At 35.7% G+C, this 19,923-nt stretch overlaps 1 protein-coding gene and 1 long non-coding RNA gene across 2 annotated transcripts in view, besides 1 other annotated feature; one reads left to right on the forward strand and one right to left on the reverse strand.

The window, feature by feature from the left end:
* MACC1 (MET transcriptional regulator MACC1) overlaps positions 1-19,923 on the reverse strand; it is an 82,730-nt gene that overhangs the window by 6,560 nt on the left and 56,247 nt on the right. The window contains exons 5-6 of the mRNA NM_182762.4: positions 16,990-19,031; positions 12,979-13,167 (exon numbers count right to left, since the gene is read on the reverse strand). Of these exons, the coding sequence (NP_877439.3) occupies positions 12,979-13,167; positions 16,990-19,031 (2,231 nt within the window). The remainder of the gene's footprint in view (positions 1-12,978; positions 13,168-16,989; positions 19,032-19,923) is intronic.
* MACC1-AS1 (MACC1 antisense RNA 1) lies at positions 702-12,317 on the forward strand. The gene is made up of 4 exons (NR_046756.1): positions 702-806; positions 6,213-6,323; positions 9,221-9,375; positions 12,050-12,317. It is a non-coding gene; the product is annotated as an MACC1 antisense RNA 1 (long non-coding RNA).
* Positions 17,598-17,757: a silencer, noted in NCBI's record as "silent region_17988". NCBI's record gives its function as "represses an Ori minimal core promoter by ATAC-STARR-seq in GM12878 lymphoblastoid cells {active_cell/tissue: GM12878}" and the evidence as "EXISTENCE:reporter gene assay evidence [ECO:0000049][PMID:35858748]".

A 19,923-nucleotide genomic window follows, 5' to 3' on the forward strand; every position in this document is an offset into this window, starting at 1 on the left:
GTTTTTAAAAAAAAGATGTAAAAAGCCTCTTAAGATTTAAGATAAAACGGAATACCAATTACACATGGACTTATTTGATGTCATAGAAAATATGGTTTAATAACTATCAGCTTCCTGTTATATCCCTGTGTTTTTAAAACTAGAGATTTTAAAAATAATAACTACAAATAGGGCCTTTTTTCCCTTGATCCATCATCTATACATTGCTGTTGCTTTCATGTGAATATAAAATTCCTTGCACAATTTTTTGATGGTAACAAATGTTATTGAGATAGGCTTTTTACTATTTGAGAGACTTTTAGAGTTAATTATTATTATTATACCTATCTGTGGTGAGTTTTATGACACCAAATAATGTATCAGGAGAGAAATAGTATATTTAACATTTTAAATTATTTTACTCGAGCAAGTCTATAAACAAGCAAAAATCTAGCTTCTTGATCAAGTCAAGATGAAAGCAAAAATATAATTCTCTAATTTAAAATATTTATTTCATGATATATTTTATCATCGAAAGAAAAACCAATACTCAGTGCTGCTTCTTTTTGCTTTTCCTAAGCACCTACCCATACCAATGATGTCATTGTTTCCATAGAAATAAATGTACGTCAAAGAGAAACTTCACATACAAGCATGCATGTAATGGTAACCAAGGCAACCAGGCTAGAGGGAGAATAGAGACAAAGGCAGACCAAATAAGACAAATTGTAGAATACACACACACACGCACACACACACACACGTCACACACACAGCACCTTAAAATGAATTTTCTCTAGGGAAACAACAAAATGAACCCTGCACTTGTAAGTGGAATATTTGAAATATAAACTTTATTATTTGCTTATTTTGGGGGGTTCACTGAACTAATTTGGTTGTGATTCTATCACTTGCAAAATGTAGGAACATAGACTCCGAGCTAAATATCATGCAGAACTGCCCTTTTAAAGTAGAACCTCTATCACAGTTCAGTAATATCACATGAACTAAAGCCTTGGCATATAATTTTCACCATCCTCCAATATCCTCATATAGTCTAATTTTAAAGTTAAAAGAATTAAAGACCTAAATAGGGAGTTCCATTATGTATTTGATTCAATCCACATAAAAGGCTCTAAGGACAATTTAATGTTATTTGTCCAAACTGGCATTCCTGGGAAGCCATGAACAGCCATTTCCTCATCTCTCTCGACAAAGCTTAATTTTGCAAGGTAGAGAATAAAAGACAATTATCAAAGTTATACCATATCAGCATATGGTGCAGCAACAAAAATCATCTCAGATTTTTGTATATAAGTTTTACCCTCACCAACCGGATTAATAATTTTATCTTCTATGTCTGATGGAATGTGAATGAGGCATCTGCTCATCTATATTTCTGAAGATTTACATTGAAATCAAACTTCTCAAAGTACAATTGCCACTAGTTTCTCAACAATGGAATATCAGTTGAGACATAGTAATGGAACCTTTTTTGTCAGACTCAATCTTGGTTGTCGCTGCTCAGTTGCAAAGAATCACTAAACAAATAGATTATTCTGTAGTGGGTATATTCTGTCTGTAAAATCTCTGAGACGTGGACACTACCTTCTATTCACTTAAAAGTCCCTGATGCTCAACGAACTGGTTCAAATTGTCACGTATTTTTTAAAATAATGGTGTTTATAGCTAAAGGCTTCTAAGACTGTTCTAAGTCTGCTAGTGATTGAGTCTGATAAATGATGTATTTGAAGATATTTTATGATAAACAGCAACTTAAAACATTTCTGTAAAAAGGGGATGGCATAGTAGATTAGTGTAAAGCATCGCAGAAAACAGACATCTCAAGAATTATAAAAGGGTAATTTTGGGGTTGTCCACTACACTACAGATTCAAATACTTTTACAGTCAAAAGCAGCCAATATGGCCCCACCTACTTTCATGGGAAGAAAAGCTCTGTATCTATGGCCTATCTTGCGGCAGGACTGTGAATTGCTATGTGTAGAGGAGCCCTTAGGCACACTCAGTCAAGAAGCAGCTTCTCCATGCTGTTGAGGGCAGGAAATACCACAGGTGATGCAAAAAATAGAAACTACAGATTCAGGAAAGGTCCGACGACACATCTACTCATGCACTTACGCAGAGCACCACATAACGTCCTCACATTTGGCAATTTGTTGTTGTTGTTGTTGCTTTGCTTTGTTTTGTTTTGGAGACGGAGTCTGGCTCTGTCGCCCAGGCTGGAGTGCAGTGGTGTGATTTCAGCTCACTGCAACCTCCCACTCCCTGGTTCAAGCAATTCTCCTGCCTCAGCCTCCCAAGTAGCTGGAATTACAGGCACGCGCCACCACGCCCAGCTAATTTTTTTGTATTTTTAGTAGAGACAGGGTTTCACCACCTTGGCCAGGATGGTCTTGATCTCCTGACCTCATGATCCGCCCGCCTCGGACTCGCAAAGTGCTGGGATTACAGGCATGAGCCACCACGCCCAGCCCTACATTTGGCAATTTGTACTAACAACAGAGTAGTGTCGATAGCTCTTGCAAATCAGAGAAATTTGGGTACAATACTGAGTCCTAGGCCCTAATTAAGATTTTTGAAGGTGTAAAGACTTCCCAAGAGTCCCCTGAATTTGTCTGAAATGCAAGGGGGAATATTGCCCTAAACCGATTTGAGACTCCCTGGAGTGTAAGCTGTAATCTGGCTAGAAATGGGTAAAAGAGCATTGGGCTGAAAACAATAGGGCGTTGGTAAACTTTACGATTTACACTAAAATATGAGCATACTCTGTATTCCATTTTTCTTCCTCATTGCAGCAAATTAAACCTGAATATTCCTTTGGTGCAAAAATTCATCTTCTGTGTACAAAATCATTGGTAGCTCTCAACAAAGATGATAGAGAAACACTTTTATAGCATAAATACAATGAAAATATTCAACATTATCATTGTTCATTAACTATTTTGCTTATCAAATCAAGGTTTATTATCTTCCACTACAATAAATTTTGTTACAGTAAGAAAATGATGAATATTGCATGACTCTTGCTTTTAGAAGCTTATAGCGTAGGAAGGAGATAGACACCTGCACAAACACTGGCACAGGGGATGAAATAGGATGTGATAATTACAGAAAAACTCAAAAATTACTTGCATATTTTAAATCAGTGTGAGAAAAAATGATTGTTGTATTCACTGATGCTATAATGGAAAGAAAGATAGGTTTGGGTGGCAGAGTCCTGTGTCTACATCTGAGTTCTGTTGCCTATTTGATAGGTTAATTTGATAAACTAATCAAGTTATTTCAGCTTGGAATTTTTTTAATCTATAAAATATGGATAATCATTCCCAAATTTTGTGTTCAAAATACCTCATGATGTATCTGGCATATAGTTTGCATTTATACTTCTTAATAGGATAGAGAAGAAAGTACTTATTTTTTTGGCAGGGGCAAGCTAAAGAGCCTATTTTCAGCCCTACTGAATATCAAGCAAAAGGGAGGGTATCTGATAAAAAATTACAGTTGGAATGAGGAGATGACCTTGAGAGGACAGACAAGGGTTTAGCATCACTTGTGCTACAGGGATGGCAAAACACATGAGAGCAGAAGAAAACACCAAGGAAGAGAAAAAAGGGATGCAAAATTTAATTCTCAACTAAGTCAATTATTAGTGGATACAAGAGAGAAATAGACGCAATAAAAGGATGGGGAGAAGCTGGAGTCAAAGAAAAAGAAAGTGAATCACATGCTTCATCTTGCAAAAGCCAAGAAGTATAATAACATCCCAAAAAGGACATGCATTGGCTTGCTGGAGCCAGCTCACACAAGCTCCCTGGATATCCTCCCAACTCCATGTTCCACAACTCCAGTGACACCACAATGGTAGGTTAAAATGATGTACGATCGGAATATTTACACTAAGAACATTAACAAAAGCTATAAGTTTAGATTTTTTCCCTCTGCAGGGTTGGTTGGTAAACATATGCCAGTGTAACACTGAGGACTTCCCTTTTCTGTTACCTCCACTGCTACCTGTAACATCAACAATGTGGGAATATAAAGAAAAACTTGGCAAATCCAGGATTTTGGAAATTAGCAGGACTTTGGTAACTTGGAGAAGGCAGTTTCAAGAGAATAGTCGGGGGCATACGACAGGTACAAACAGGTATCAAAGAAATGGAAGACACCAAACAAATGGGTCACATCTGAAATTTGAGTGTCAAAGGAAGAGAGACAGAACCAGAACAAGCAGCAGTAGAAAATAGAGGTATTTTTAAAAGAAAAACAAATTTAAAAAGTAATATCCTACCAGAACAAGCAGCAGTAGAAAATAGAGGTATTTTAAAAAGAAAAAAAATTTTTAAAGTAATATTCTATGATGGCAAGGGGATTTGGATTTGAATCTTAGCTTTGCCATATGGAGAACTTAAGGTTAATGAGGCTTAAAGAGGTAGCATATATAAAGCACCCAAGAAGAAAGGTTAACTTCCTTTGGCAGAAACATAAATACAAAAGGATGTTAAAATCATTATGGAGTTAGGGCACAAAATTAGAGGGGCAAGTATCATGAGAAATCGAGAAGGAATGAGAACAAAAGCATATGTCAAGACTTATGTACTTAATACACTGATAAAAAATATTAAATTGGGGGAACTATGTTTTCCCTTAATAAGTAAATCTCTAGGCTGGGGGTGGTGGCTCACGCAAGTAATCCCAGCACTTCTTTGGGAGGCTGAGGTGGGTGGATCATGAGGTCAGGAGTTCGAGACCAGCCTGGCCATTATGGTGAAGCCCTGTATCTATTAAAAATACAAAAATTAGTGAGGCGTGGTGGCACGCGCCTGTAGTCCCAGCTGCTTGGGAGGCTGAGGCAGGAGAATCGCTTGAACCCAGGTGGCAGAGGTTGCAGTGAGGCAAGATCATGCCACTGCACTCCAGCCTGGATCTCAAAAAGAAAAAAAAAAAAAAAAAGTAAATCTCTATTTGAGCTTTGCCTTAAAAAAACCTGATTAATCGTCCAGGTCTCTTCAATACAGTAAATAGGCTAATCAGTTGTTTAATTGTCCTTTGTGGAATAGATATATGAACATTTGGACACAAGTTCTAAAGGTACTTTTATTTTTTCTGCATTTTTTATCTCATTTCATTCTGGTTTTCTTAAACAGTAAATACATTTTATCCAAGGCAGAGACATAAGAGGTAATTTGTGTACATTAATTAACAATAAACTCTATGAAATTTGCCCTAAAATATCTACCCAGTAAGGTCACAAAAAATTCTAAATTTTTTAATAAATTACAAAGAAAATGAAGTCATCTTTTCTGGAAATGTTTGAAGGAATAAAATGCGTAGAATAAATAATTTTCTTTCCGGACTGACTAACATTTAATCCTCCGAAGGCTAGAAAGGAGTTGCAGACAGCCAAGATCTCTTCCAGATTTATGTTGTCTTGTATCTATTCTGTGTTTTAAAAATAGTTGTTCCTCTCTTGCTCAATGTTATGATTAGAAAAGATATGCAGAAACTCTACACTTGTGTTTTGAAAAATCTAAAGGAAAGCCCTCTCAGGAGGGCTTGTTTTTTAGTTGTTAAATTATTCTTAACCACAAAAATTATCTCAGCCTTCTCATTTCTATCACAAATATTTAATACATAGGCTGCATTCTTATGCCTCTATTCTTAGATTTTTAATGGTAACTTCATGATGTTGCAGTTTCATTCTTGAATAGGAAGCGTGAGGCTGATAAAAGCACAAAGTTGTTAATTTTCATCTATGTGCTTTTCTTTTTATAAAAAAGGGCAGCAGCGTGAGTAAGTATTTAACATACAAAGTTGAGCAGTTTTCCAAAGTTCAAGCTTTTGTGTGGAAGAAGTGTGTCTTAGGTTATCTTTTCAGTGTTATAGGACAAAATAAAAAGTAATGGAGCAATAAAAAGTAATAAGTGGGATGCCAAAAGAAATGAAATAGGAATAAAGGCAAAACATACATAGTTTTCCAAATTTAGAGTGCTCATTCCCAGAAGCCAATAAGACTCATTAGAAAATGCACTAGAAAATGAAATGCCACATGAGTAGAAGAAATTCAGATTTCAGCATAGCACTGTATGTCTTTTTTTAGCTTATAAAATATGAATAGCATAAAGAATGCAATTGGTTTTAACTACTTTTGGATAATTACATTTTGTCACATTAAAGGATTAGTAATCCACTTACTTCTCCTATAAACTTACAGGAACAACACTTCATTTTCAGTACCATTAGCTGAAGAAGTATTAAGGCAAGGTTGCCTTCTTAATGATTATTTCATGTGTTCTATCCTCAGTACATCATTTACAATATTCAGGTAAGCTTTAACACTTAACATTTAACATTACCTATAATTAGTAAGTACATAAATATTGTTGAAGGTAAGATTGCTGTTGTCTTCAGAAGAGAAGGGAGGCTAACATATCTGGGGGCCCCTATGTCCTCACGAGGGAGATGCTGCTTGGTTAAAACTTGACACAAGATTCCATTGAAAAAGTCTATTTGAGGACAACCAGCTAAATTTGGGTGAGAATAACCACTTGGAACTTCAGGGGTTAAGCATGAGCCAGAGGAAGACAGAGGACCTATTCCTTGCTAGTGCATCTGCTTAAATAGTCTAACATTATAGGAAAACCTGCTGGTTAAGCCATCTTACCAATTCCTAGTTGGGAGGATTCCTCATTGCCTCCTCATCATCACTGCCACCCATGCCCCTGCCAAAAACATATATTCATGGAGACAACTGACACCAATGTTTAAAGAAATTGGGCTCCTTCAATTTAATTTTTCAATGTAAACATTAAAACAAATGAAAAAATACAGTGTCAAGAGCTCTGGATTTAGCGGCACACATCTTGGTTTAAATCTAGACTCTTGGTTTAGTAGCTCCAGGATCTTAGGTAAGCTATCACCTTTCTTTAGGCCCTTGCTTTCCCCTTCTGGCAAATGAGAAAAAAGGTGTACCCAATGCTATAAAAGAATTGCTAAGTATACAAAGGAATGGATGTAAATGTTTTTGGCACACACCAAGTGCTCAATTAATGCTAATTATAGTTGAGTTTAAAGTTAAGAAACAAAATCACAGTCAACTATCCAGGAAAAGAACCCAGGTAACCTTGCTATAAATCTAGGGCCATTTTACTAAAGTATTGCCACAACTTTATTTCATTATTAAGCAGTTCTAACAAATGCTGATTTTGGTCTTACACATAGCTGGATTTTGGTTTTCTGAAATTCCTTATTGTTTATGTTCCCTAGTACTAAAGCTTGAAAAAGAAAACCTAAAGTCAAAATTAAATAGTGTCTTTAAATCCATTTTGAATTTTCTTAATAATGTTTAACTTAATATGCATGTTATTTCTATTTGATTTTCAGTGTATAATATAGAATTAAGTCAAAGATCATAGGAATACAATGTGTTACCCCAGAAATTTCACTGTGCTATCTTTGTTTTCTTTCCTACCTCATTCCTCCCAAAATGGAGTATCTTTTTGAAATTAAAGTTTGTAACAAGTATAGAATTGTACAAAGTAGACATGGTAATCTAAATTGTACAAAGTAGACAATGGTAATCTAAATAACATCACTGTGCCAAATCTCTAGTTCAAACAATGGAGATTTGAGATATCATTCTATACATTTTACAACTGGTATGTGAATTTCCATATAATACTTTTCCCTTCTCTAAGAAATTATAAATATATTTCTCATTTCAAAAGAACAGCAAACAAAAGAATTAAGTACCAAGGCTAGAACTGAACCAGGCCCTGATACAGACCTTGATAATTCAACATCCCTGTAAGCAGAATCCAGAAGTTGCCATGTAAGCCAGAAAACCATACAGCCCAAGGACATTTCTTTTAACTTTTGCGAGAGATAATTTCCAAGGAAAATTAAATGTTGTTAAGCCCATAAGAAATAAGCTGATCAGCCAAGACTTTATCTCATTTTTTTCCATGCATTGCTATTCTGCCAGTTTCTCAGATGAGAAACCTTGAAATAACTGCTAACTTTTTCCTTACATTCTTCCTATAGGCACTCTCAGTCACATTACTAAAAAAACAGTGTATTTTATTCTATTTTCCAAAAATTACTCAAAGTTATATAGTTATCAAATTCACCTTTTCCTCTTCCTCTTCATTAAAATAATAAATAATATGTATTTAGTGATTACAATATGCAAAACATTGTCCCAAATATTACACATTTATTATCTCATTTGATCTTCTAAACATCCAGTGAGTAAGATAGTATTATTCTCCTTACTTCACAGACACACAAAATAGATTCCCAGAAAAGTAAAGTAATTTGCCCAAGGCTTGAGGGCTGATAGATGGTAGAGGTGGAACAGAAGTCCAGCCAAGAATCTTAACCTCTATGCTCTGGTAGTCACTGAAGACTCCCCTCCATTGATACCAACATATGTACCTGACCACATCACCCAGTAATTAGTAAGGTGAACTCTCCCCTCCAGGCCACATCTTCTCAGTGGTCCCTAGAGCTCACTGATATTTAGAAGCACTGAAGTCTACTTCTATTCCTCTCCAATTACTCAAAGGCCACCCATCCTTCAAAGCTAGCATGTCTCCTAATTACTCCTCACCACTTTGATATTTTTTAAGTAAGTTAAATTTGAAAGGGCTTATCATTAGTATAATACAGTGGTTAGGACTTTATATAAGACAACGTGAATTCAGATCTAAGTACTTGCCCTTAATAGCCATGTAACTGGATAAATTACACAAATACATTCACCTTCAGTTTGTATATATGTAAAGAGCAGATGGCTATAATGTTTTCCTTACAAAGTATATTGAAATAATAGAGATACTGTAAAGAAAATGCTCATAATGACTAGCTGACAATGAACATTTGGTAAGTTACAACTATTAACATTGTCATCTAGTCCTATACTTTTAAGAAATATTATAACAATTCAAATATTAACAGTTTATCCCAATTCCCAGGCCAAAGTAAAACCTGGTTTTTAAGGAAAAAATAATCATATTGTGTGTTTTTTACGGCTCCTAAACCAATGTCCAGAACTGATAGACCCAGAATAAGCGTTAAGTATATGGATGAATTAAATACTGAAGGCTAGGACACAGATATAAGATACTAAATAAGTGGAAAGAATTCCATGTGGAATTCATTCACTTATAGAAAATGACTAAAACTTCTTGAAAATCAACAACTTTCTTATCTTTAATCTAGACTTGGAACAAAGTACTTTGAACTCTCCAGCGGCCAGTCAGAAAATGAGGAACAGGTTGTGAATAGAAGATACAAAGGAGTATTAGATCTGCATTGATTAAATGGTGACTACAAATAGACTTAAAATACATCTTCCCAATTATGAATCTCTACAGGTGAGTAATTTCCGAGACGAAAAAAAATTACCATTAGGAACATTGACTTCGCTGGCTTCCATTGGGAGAGTGGCCCATTCTGGCAGGTCAGATAAGAAACTATTATCAACAGGACTATTGGTGCCTGTGGCTGAGGTAGAGCCCAGTGGGCAAAGGTAATTGAAGAAAGGAAGTGAGGCCAGAGTGGTGGCTCACACCTGTAATGCCAGCAATTTGGGAGGCCGAGGTGAGTGGATCACCTGAGGTCAGGAGTTCGAGACCAGCCTGGCCAACATGGTGAAACACCCATCTCTACTAAAAATACAAAAATCAGGCAGGTATGGTGGCATGCGCCTGTAATCCCAGCTACTTGGGAGGCTGAGGCAGGAGAATCTCTTGAACCTGGGAGGTGGAGGTTACAGAGAGCTGAGATTGTGCCATTGCACTCCAGCCTGGGTGACAGAGCCAGACACTGTCTCAAAGGAGAAAAAAAAAAAAAAAAGAAAGGAAGTGAAACTTTAGTGTCCTTGGTGAATATGTGTCCTTATTAAACAAGATAAAAATGGCATAATCTATATTGTTAAGCAAGGGGGCCAATGAGGGAGCCATAGAAAAAGTATTGTCATTTGTGGTAACCATCCCTAGAAGGCTAAGTGAAGAGCACCCAATTTAGGCCAGTGAATTTCTTATCTCTGAATCCCCAGCATGTCCCCTTGTAAAATTCAACATTTAAAAAGTGAGCTATTTTTCTAATATGCTATTGATTCCTTTTTTAAAAAATTAAAACTCTAAATATATTCAGAAAATGCCAATAAATTTTCACTAACTTTCACGGAAGAACCTTGGCAATAGTGACATCTTTGTATAGTGTAAGTGCATTTTTTCTGAAAGAAATACTCTGAAAAACATACTTTGCTTATTATCAGATTCCAAGCTTTACAGCTTTGCTTTTATGTAGTAATTACCATGTCATTAGAAAAGTCGAGTAACATTTCTTAAAATTTAACTTGAGGAGATGGTTAATTTCAAAAGTGACATTCTCAAAAGTTTCCAAAGAGAGGCTTTTTCTTCACCTTAGAAAAAATTAAGAAATGGTTAAGGTGTTCAGAAAATCTGACAAATTTATTATTAATATACTTCATTTTTTAACCAGCTTGAGGCTTGGTAAAGATTTAATTTTGAGGCAATTTTTGATAGTATCATGGCTACTTGACATGGCCTGAAAAGAGGACAAATAAAAAATGAAACAAGTTGCTTAACCCTGGCCGCACCTTCTGACTCTGCAACATAGTCACCATATTAAACAGTGATGGACAGAGTGTAATGGTTAAAGTCATGGACTCTGAAGTCAAATGTCTGTGCTCTAAACATGGTTCCAGGACTTTCCAGCTGTGTATGTTTAAGCAAGTTACTTATCCTCTCCATATCTTAGATATTAGTGTCTGCCCCATGAGTTTTTATTGAAAGGATTACATTAATTAATTTTTGTAATATTTCCAGAACAGTGTCTGTCACGGAGTCAGTGCCAGATAACTCTCCCTAAGATACAATAAAAATAGAACAAAGGGAAGAGAAAGAAGTTAAAGGAGAGAAAGTAAGCGAAACAGCTCAACTGCAGGCATTGGCACACATAGAAGGCAGTTTTTGGAGTGTGTGCCCTCTGAGGAAATGACATACAGGAAAAAAAGCGGCCCAGCAACTGCTAGACCTAATTATCTCCCTGCCCCAGTGCACTTCCCTCCCTCTGCACCCCCTACCCAGAACTAATATCAGTGTGCTTTGAAATCAACTACTTGAATTGTAAATTGATCATATTTAGGAATCTCCTCCCAAAGAGAAAAATTATACAGCTATTTTTTAGGAGGTTGGAAATTAGCATATATTTACCCATTAGTTAAGTGACCTCGTACGTAAGATTTCTGTATATTATTTGGAATGACCTCAGGCCAATATACTGTGGATTTTTCTAAGTATTTAATAACATGAATCTGAGTGATGACTATTACTATTAATCACAATAAGTTGAACTATCATAGAAAGACACCTAGGGGCTTTCCTTTCTGCTTCTGAGTGTTTATCAGCCTCAGGCAAAGACTTAGTCATTTATGATTTGGGCTGTGCAAAAGTAAATAATGGAAAAGTGGGTGGTTTGCTGGCCTCCATCAAGATTTAGGGGAAGACAAACTATAAACAACCACAATTAGAGAGAAGCCAGATGCTTAAGGAGGCTGACAGAATAAATAACTCTGATAAATAACTCTCAACAAAACTCTTTCAAAACAGAACCTTATTAAGAAAAAAAGGTCCTGCTTTCAATTAGACAACTTTTTCATCAGTTAACTGAAATGTCCGAATCAGAAGAGCGTATCCCTCATAATATTTGTTTTTCCTTCTTAAAGGCTTCCTATCTTTCATCTCATTCTGTAAACACTTGAGTCCATTTTGTGTACTGCACCAAATGCTATATTATGCTTATTTATAGGCTGTAATGCCCTTCTAAGTTTATGGAGATAAATGTAGTCTCTGAGGGGAAAGACATCCTCAGTCCCTGGTTGCTCCTGGCTAAAGAGTCTTATTTTGGAGAAGTCCTGGCTGGAGAGCCAGGCTGCAGGAACTCAGAAACCAGCCTGCTGACACTTCCACTGCAGCTGCTGGAATTCAGCTGACTTGATTTGACTCTACTTTTCATGCAAAGGTGGTTTTGTCCTGTTCACCCAACTGGAATGGTTGCATCGAAGCAAGAAAATTTTCTCCAAAAATTAATACCCAGATCTACGCCAAAAACAAAGTGAAGAATACAGCTTCTGCTCTCACCAAGTCATCTCTAATAGAGAGAAGATTTCCTTAAACATAAATATCTTCAAAATGCTTGTTCATTTGAGAGAAAGATACAGAATATTTTACATGTGCCCTTCACTGGAATATTTTTATTTATTTAATTCAATAAAAATTGACTCCCAGTTCTTTATGGTAATCTGGAGAAAAATATGTGTTTAACTTGTGCCTAACAGCATACATTTGTTTTGATAAAAACAATATTTTCATGGTAAATATTTACTTTGTACTAAGTGCTAACATTCTGCAACTGATGCCTGTAGTTACTGTAGGCAACATTGTGAAGGAGATAATGAAGCTCTTAGTTATCAATCTCTCATCACCAGTGGCTCTACATCCACTTTCTTACTACTTCTTGTCCCTGAGCATTAGTTATCGCAAGTGACTAAGTTTATGCCTGAGGCCGATAAGTACATATCATTATGTCTTCCTCTATTGTCCTGACTTGATCCTGTCTCCCACCTTCAAAATTTACCTGTTTTATGACTCAAGTTCTTATAGCCATCCCCACTTACTGGCCCAATTTGATCAATTAATTCATTGATCAAAGGCCATGAGAATATGAAATCCAAAAGAAGAAACATCAATATTTTAAGGGCTCTCAATGCCTTTTAAGAGTGTGTGTGTTTATTTCAGATAGTACTGATGAGTTACTAGTGCAGTGATTCAGTTAGTGGATCATCTTGGACATTCCCCCAGTGAATCCGTGAATGTGGTATGGGTTTGATTACATTAGTGTTACTTGGTCTGCAACTTTTCACTATTGAATTACACAAACAGAAGTCTTACCTCAACAGCAACATCTCCAGTGTTTCCTCGATGAGGAATTTCATATGCCTCCATTTGTTGCTTTGTGAGTCGTACTAACTTTTCAGCTAGTTCCCTCCAGCCTTTTCCAAGCTTGACAGCTGAAGTCAGAACAGCAGCTTCTTGGATGAGACGTGCGACTAACTCTTGGCAATCCATTTTCAGAAGAGCCTGCAGCAACAATTACATGTCACAATTAAAAGCAACTAACTTGGGCTTTTCTCTCTATAAATTGGAATTTTTATTACATATTCTACAAATGGGAGTCCTTTTTTTTCACTACACGTATAATCGAGTTTTCTAAAGCTCAAGGAGTTGATTCACATTTAAGCAAATTCTATAAGCAAACTACAGTAGACATAACTAAGCCAGAGTTAGGGGAGATTTAGAACTAATTCAGTGGCTAATTATAGGACCTTGGATAAACCACTTAACTAATATGTGTCTTTGTATCTTTAATTGTGAAAAAAGGAAGTTAAATTACACACTTCCAATGGTACTCTGAAGTTCCGGCAGTCTCTAATTTATCACTCTAGGATTAGTTATTTACTCACAAGAAATAAAGCCTCGTTCTAGGAGAGGATTGGCTACAAGAATTTCTTTAAAGTGTATGTGAACTGGTGATGGTAAATATTATTCTATTTTCACCAAAATATGACTTAAAACATCCCAGAATCATGCCTGCTGTGTTTAAAAAAAAGAGACACTCCTTCAACTTTGAACAAAGCTATTGATGTTTATAAGTTTAAAATATATATATATAAATTTATTAAAAATACTCTCCCTCATCACCAATATAATGGTATTAAACATAAAGTACAAGGTATTAAAGACAAAACACCTAGTCTTCTACAATGCAAAATAGAAAACCATCAGGCTCTTACCTAACCATGCATGTTTCAAACAAGTCTACAAGTTTGTGTTTTGCCTTGAGTACCATTTTTAAAATATGGGATTACATCTATCTATACCTCTTCTTTGTTCAAATGAGCAAATAGAGTAGCTCCCCCTTAGGAGGGGGAATCCAAGGAGATCCAAGAATCCAAAGGAGTCACATTTCAAGGCTGTCCAGTGGATGCCTGAAACTGCAGATAGTACCAAATTTTATACACACTGTGTTTTTTCCTATACATACACACCTATGGAAAAGTTTAATTTATAAATTAGGCGCAGTAAGAGATTAACAACAATAACTAGTAATAAAATATAACGATCATAACAATATACTCTAATAAATGTTATGTGAATGTGGCCTCTCTCTTTCAAAATACCTTATTGTACTCTACTCACCTATTTGTCAATCATGGTTGATGGTAGGTAACCCAAACCACAGAAAGTGAAACTGTGGATAAGGGGAACTACTGTAAACATGTTTGGTAGCCCCTCATTATTTAATGGCACTTTGGAGCTTTATCTACCAATATGAAACAATAAGTTAAAATGAATAAGCAAGTAAAGCAACTATGAAAGTTGATAGCATGTTCATTCCCCTGAAAGTATGCAATTAGAAGGACTACCCATGGTTTTGATACATAAATGGATCCATACATTTATACTGAAGAGTTATAGCCTCAGTGAGAAACAATACTGAGCTAGCGGGCCCCTGATGGTGCTTTTAGTAAACTGTGGAGTGGGGTTACTACTTTATATTCCAGTTTCTTGTTTTAGGGAAAAGATCTGTACTTGGAGCCATAAAACCTGAGTTTAAAATCCAGCTCCACATAGTATAAGACTTTACATGCATCACACAGTATCTCTATTTAATGATTTTTAAAATCAATGTAGTGTTAATTCCACTTTGTCTAAACTTCCATAATCATTGTGAAAATCAAATTGGATGCTGAAGTGCTTTAGAGAGTGTCAAGTATATAAGGACAGCCAGTCTCAATGTCAAGAGATGACTGAAGGGTTTGGATCCCACAGTCTTTTTCAGCTTATCGGGTCGCTCCCTGCCACACCAAATCAATATACAATCCTAGAAAAATGTATATTTACTATGCAAATAAAGTTTCAAGAGACAACTCTATACCCCATGCTCCATCACCTGCCAGTCAGAGAACCAGGCCTGAGCCTCTTCATACAGAAATCCTGAAACCTCCACTAAAGCTTGGAAGCTCCCCGCTTGAATGGAGTCTCTACTAGATTTTCTAATTAGCCGCTTGAGGCACTCTGGTAATTATCATACCCCAAAATATACAGGTATGATCAGGCTTGAACTTTCAGACCATCATTAATGACCTTTGGCCATTACAACATTTTTAGGCCACTAAAAAAACAAAAGAAATTAATTTTCCAATTCAAACCTTTGCAGGTGAATGTTAAATATGAGCTATGAGAGTTAATGAGCTATTACAAAATGCACACGCAGCTTCCACCAGGTAGAGCAGCTTCTAACATTCAGTCTCCAATAGTTCTGAATGTCCCAGGGTAGGTAAGAATGCAGCACACCATAAAAAATCTATCAACTTAGCAACTGGATATAGGAGCTTTTGAATTTCAACTTCTCTAAGTATCACTGTAGAATCATCAAAAATATTGAAAGAGAGATAATGTTATATATATTTATTTATTATATGAATCATTGTTAATGCCACAGATTAAATTTGTTCTCCAAATATTTTCTACTTCTTTTGCATCTTGATTAAAACTTTGCTCCTTTGCATGAACCTGCCTATATAATTTTATTTACCTTCTACAGAGCACCAGCCTTTCACAATTATAATATTTAATACAAATACCTACACATACACAGTACTTATACAAACATTTTTATACACACACACATTACTTTGTTTCATGAAGGCATAGTGGCTTTACGCATGATTTTGAAACCAAAAAATATTCAAATCCCATCTATAAGAATAGGCAACTGTAGGACGTGGGCAAATTGTCTAACTTTTTAAGACTTGGTTTCTTCGACCTATAAGATGAAGATACTAGCTATACTTACCCCATAGAGTTGTTAATGGCTAAATAAGCACTAGAGAAGCATTAACAATCATTTTTATTTTTACACTCATGTTTTAACCATTTTTAGAAATATGATCTTGATTTTTTTTATTTTTATAAAATATTGAATTTCTACTTTAAAGGTAAAAAGTACTTTGTAATTCTACACTGAGCCTTCCACTGGGTTGAATACTACACTAAAGAATTTGGCACTGGGAGTCCTATTAAAACATGAGGATTAAGATGAGAATTACTAATATTATTGTTTAGGCTGTAATGCATTGTATACATAAGAATATTAAATTGCTAAAGGATATTGGTAATACATTAAAAAAAAGAAACAGCCAGGTGTGGTGGCTCATGGCTGTAATTTCAGCACTTTGGGAGGCAAAGGTGGGAAGATTGCTTGAGGCCAGGAGTTCAAGAGCATCTTGGGAAACATAGTGAGACACTCATCCCTTAAAAAAAAAAAAAAAATACCCAGGCATGGCGGCACATGCCTGCAGTCTGAGTTACTTGGGCAGCTGAGCCCTGGAGGTTGAAACTGCAGTGAGCTGTGATCGTGCCACTGCACTCCAGCCTGGGCAACAGACCGAGACTTTGTCTCAAAAAAAAAAAAAAAAAAAAAAGAAAGAAAGAAAAAAATCCCACACACACTGAAAAGTAGATCCCTAACAATGGCCAAGTTAGTTCTCTTTAGTTTGCTTTCATGTTATGGAGCCTCTCTGGTATCTTAAGAGTTGTCTAAATATTTGAGACAGGAAGAGAAGTTGTATCTGAACTGTTAAGCCCAGCACAAACAGAACTTTTTATTTTCTTTTAAAAGATGATCCTGGTTTTTGGGGAAATCACAGTTGAATCTCAAGTTTAAGAAACCAGTTTTATGATCATGTAGGAAAAACTATATTTGCTATAAAGTGTCTTTAATGTATTTAAGACTGTTGAATTTTTAAACATTTCTCCTCTCACATGTTCAGTTATAAATATTGTCAAGTTAATACAATTCTCGATGGCAATTCATTACCATGATCAAGCAATACTCACCACAATAAGTTCATACAGAAACTTCCTTGTATTTCTCTCTGTGTGGCAATCTTCCTTTAACTTCTTTATAACATAAGAAACTTTCTCTGATTCTTTGTCTGCTTGAATTTGATCAAAATCTTCCAGGGACAGATGTGAGTAACCCAGGACATCAGCTAAAACTTTCCAATCATAAACTTTTTCTGACACCAAGGTTAATACAACTGAGTAGATATAAGTCAATTTTTTTAAAGGCAGGACAATCTGTTCAAGAAGATTTCTGGTTGTAAAGACACTATCTGACATAAACATTACTTGCTCCTTTGAAATCACCTTGACATTTTTGCAGTGTACAAGTCCAATCTTACCTCTGAGGACTCCTACATACCATTCTTTCACTTTGGACTGACCAATAGCTTTTACCTTACCTTCCCCGAGGAGAGCTATTGTGTCCCCTTTGAAATATTCAAGGAAGTAATCAATCTTGCTTTGTCTTAGCACTGCCTTCAGGGTTACCCCATAGTTGCTAAAGTTCAATGTTTTATCTTGAAATGTAGGATATTTAACAAGAATTTTTGGTGATAAAGGAGCAGACTTGATTTCCTCCTTCTTCTGCAAATAGCCTGGCAGATTCGAGAGTCTTTTTAGGTTTGGGGTTGGATCAGGAGTAGTGATAGAGAACTGTGCAACTGGTTCACCATTGGGAGGCTCCACTTGAACACAAAAATCAAACAAGTGCATCTCTCTGTGCTCAACTAAAGAAAATAAAAATTGTTGATGAACTACTTCACCTGCTTCCAACTGCTTTTGTTTAATTTCTTTCCTTTCTCCTTCTGTCTTTACTTCAAAATCAGGATCACAGGAAAAAATAGAAATACTTAAATCTTGTGGCTTGTCAAGTAAAAATGACTGCTTCCCCCAGAGCTGAAACACAACTGGAGATATGTTTTTTCCACCCTTCTTAATATCAGAAATTGTAAGCTGTCCTGGCATATAATTGTGTCCACAAACTGTTAAAACAACAGTAAAACTGGGATGGATATATTTGGGTCCATAAATTCCAATTGAGGTGGTTTTGTGGATATAATCCCAAATGGTGGCAGCTGGTGACGGAAGAGCTTTAGCTTGTGCAGCAACCACTAGATACATTACCTGACTCAAGTCGATTAGCTTGACTTGGATGGTGTCTTTATAAATGTAGCAGTTGCTTAAAACTTTAAAAGGGCCTTCTTTACCCAAGCTGTGTAAACACACCATTTCTGTCATGACTTGGCTGAAAGGATCCTTTCTTACTTCAGCCCCAATTTTCATCTCCAGCAAAAGGGCTTCCATTGTATTGAGGTTGCCTAACATGATTTCCAACAACGGGCTCACAGTGCACGAAAGATCATGGTTAAGCATGTGTGGCGGATCAAGGAAAGCCCTTAGAGACACCTCTTGGAATTCTCCCACAGCCACATGACCTTGGGGCACATGAACAGTGATGTCTGATTCAGGTAATTGTACTGACCCTCCTTGATGGTTTACTTTGCAAGCTATGGTGACCTCCGCAAGTTGTGTCTGGGCCCATCCAGGGCTCTGACTAATTGTATTCAAATCAAGGCAGGAGCGGGCCAGCTGGCGTTGACTTAACCAAGCCATTTTATAAGCCTCCCGATCATTTTTAAGCCACTCTAAGTCGTGTAGTAGGATCTGGTCAGAGTTATGTATACTCTGATGGGCATGTGCTGTGTCGTCTAAAATGTCCAGAAGTTCTGAAACACTTTTAGATCTTCCAGAATTTCTTGAGGAAGTCTGCCTAAGTAACTGATGCACATCAAGTTCATCACCGGAGGAATCAAAAGAATTTCCATTTTCTATTTCTCTACAGAAAAGAAAAGGATCTTCCTTTAAGATGGAAATATTATTTCTCTTCCTGTTATTTCTTAGTTGAGTTATGTCATCCAAAAATGGGTTAGAAGCAGACAGTTGATTCCAGAATGGATTTGCAACTTTGGAAGCATTATTACCACGAAGGGTGAAAGCATCCGGCCAATTGTGAAGCAAGTCTGGGTCCTGGCATTCTTGTTATTTAAGGAAAGACAAAGCAAAACAAAGATAAGGTGGCACTGTGAGTTACAATCAAGATTAATTTTTCCCATAGCTTAAAAATTCAGGACTTACTTTTCATTTTTCTTTCTGATCTCTAGTCTACTAGCTAACATAAACTCAATGTTAAATTTGCTCAAATTTATATGTAATGAGAGAAGAATATTTTTTCTACCAGGTTATTTTTTGAACATATGTAATGTTATTTTAAGACATCATGATTTATAAACTAAACAAATAAATATTTAATATGACCTAATAATATATTTAACACATTTTCTTGAAAATGACTCAGACTAGCATGTGCTTATGCTTTATTATTTTATGTATCATGTTTACAAAAGCAAATTTCTGGTCAAATAGAATAAATCAGTTATTCAATTATCCATATTTTTCTAAGCACTGAATTGTTGGTTTCATTACATTCAGAATATTAATTTAATATTTTCCTTTTCAGATAATATTGAATATGTAGAAAATATCAAATACATCTGTTAATATTTAAAATAACGTTTAAAACAATATGCTAAGTTAGAAAGTCATTAATTTATTAGATAATTCTATAATTTTGTATTGAAATGTTATTAACATTTTTCAGGAAAAGGAATTCATAAAATGAACATTGAAAATTTAGACCACCATTGGTTTTATTGATCAAATGAATTCATTGCACTCAAGCTTGCAATGGCAAATAATAATTTTACCACTAGAAATTGAAGCATTATTATTTTGGAAAGTAAGTGTCTTAAGAATTTGTAACATTAAAATATTTACATTTCTATTATAAGAATTTCTAGATATCTCACAACATTGAAGCCATTTTTTGTTTGTGTAGAGCAACTCGTACTTGGTCATTTCTTAGTAAAT

Source organism: Homo sapiens, chromosome 7, assembly GCF_000001405.40.
Source record: "Homo sapiens chromosome 7, GRCh38.p14 Primary Assembly".
NCBI classification, from domain to species: Eukaryota; Metazoa; Chordata; class Mammalia; order Primates; family Hominidae; genus Homo; species Homo sapiens.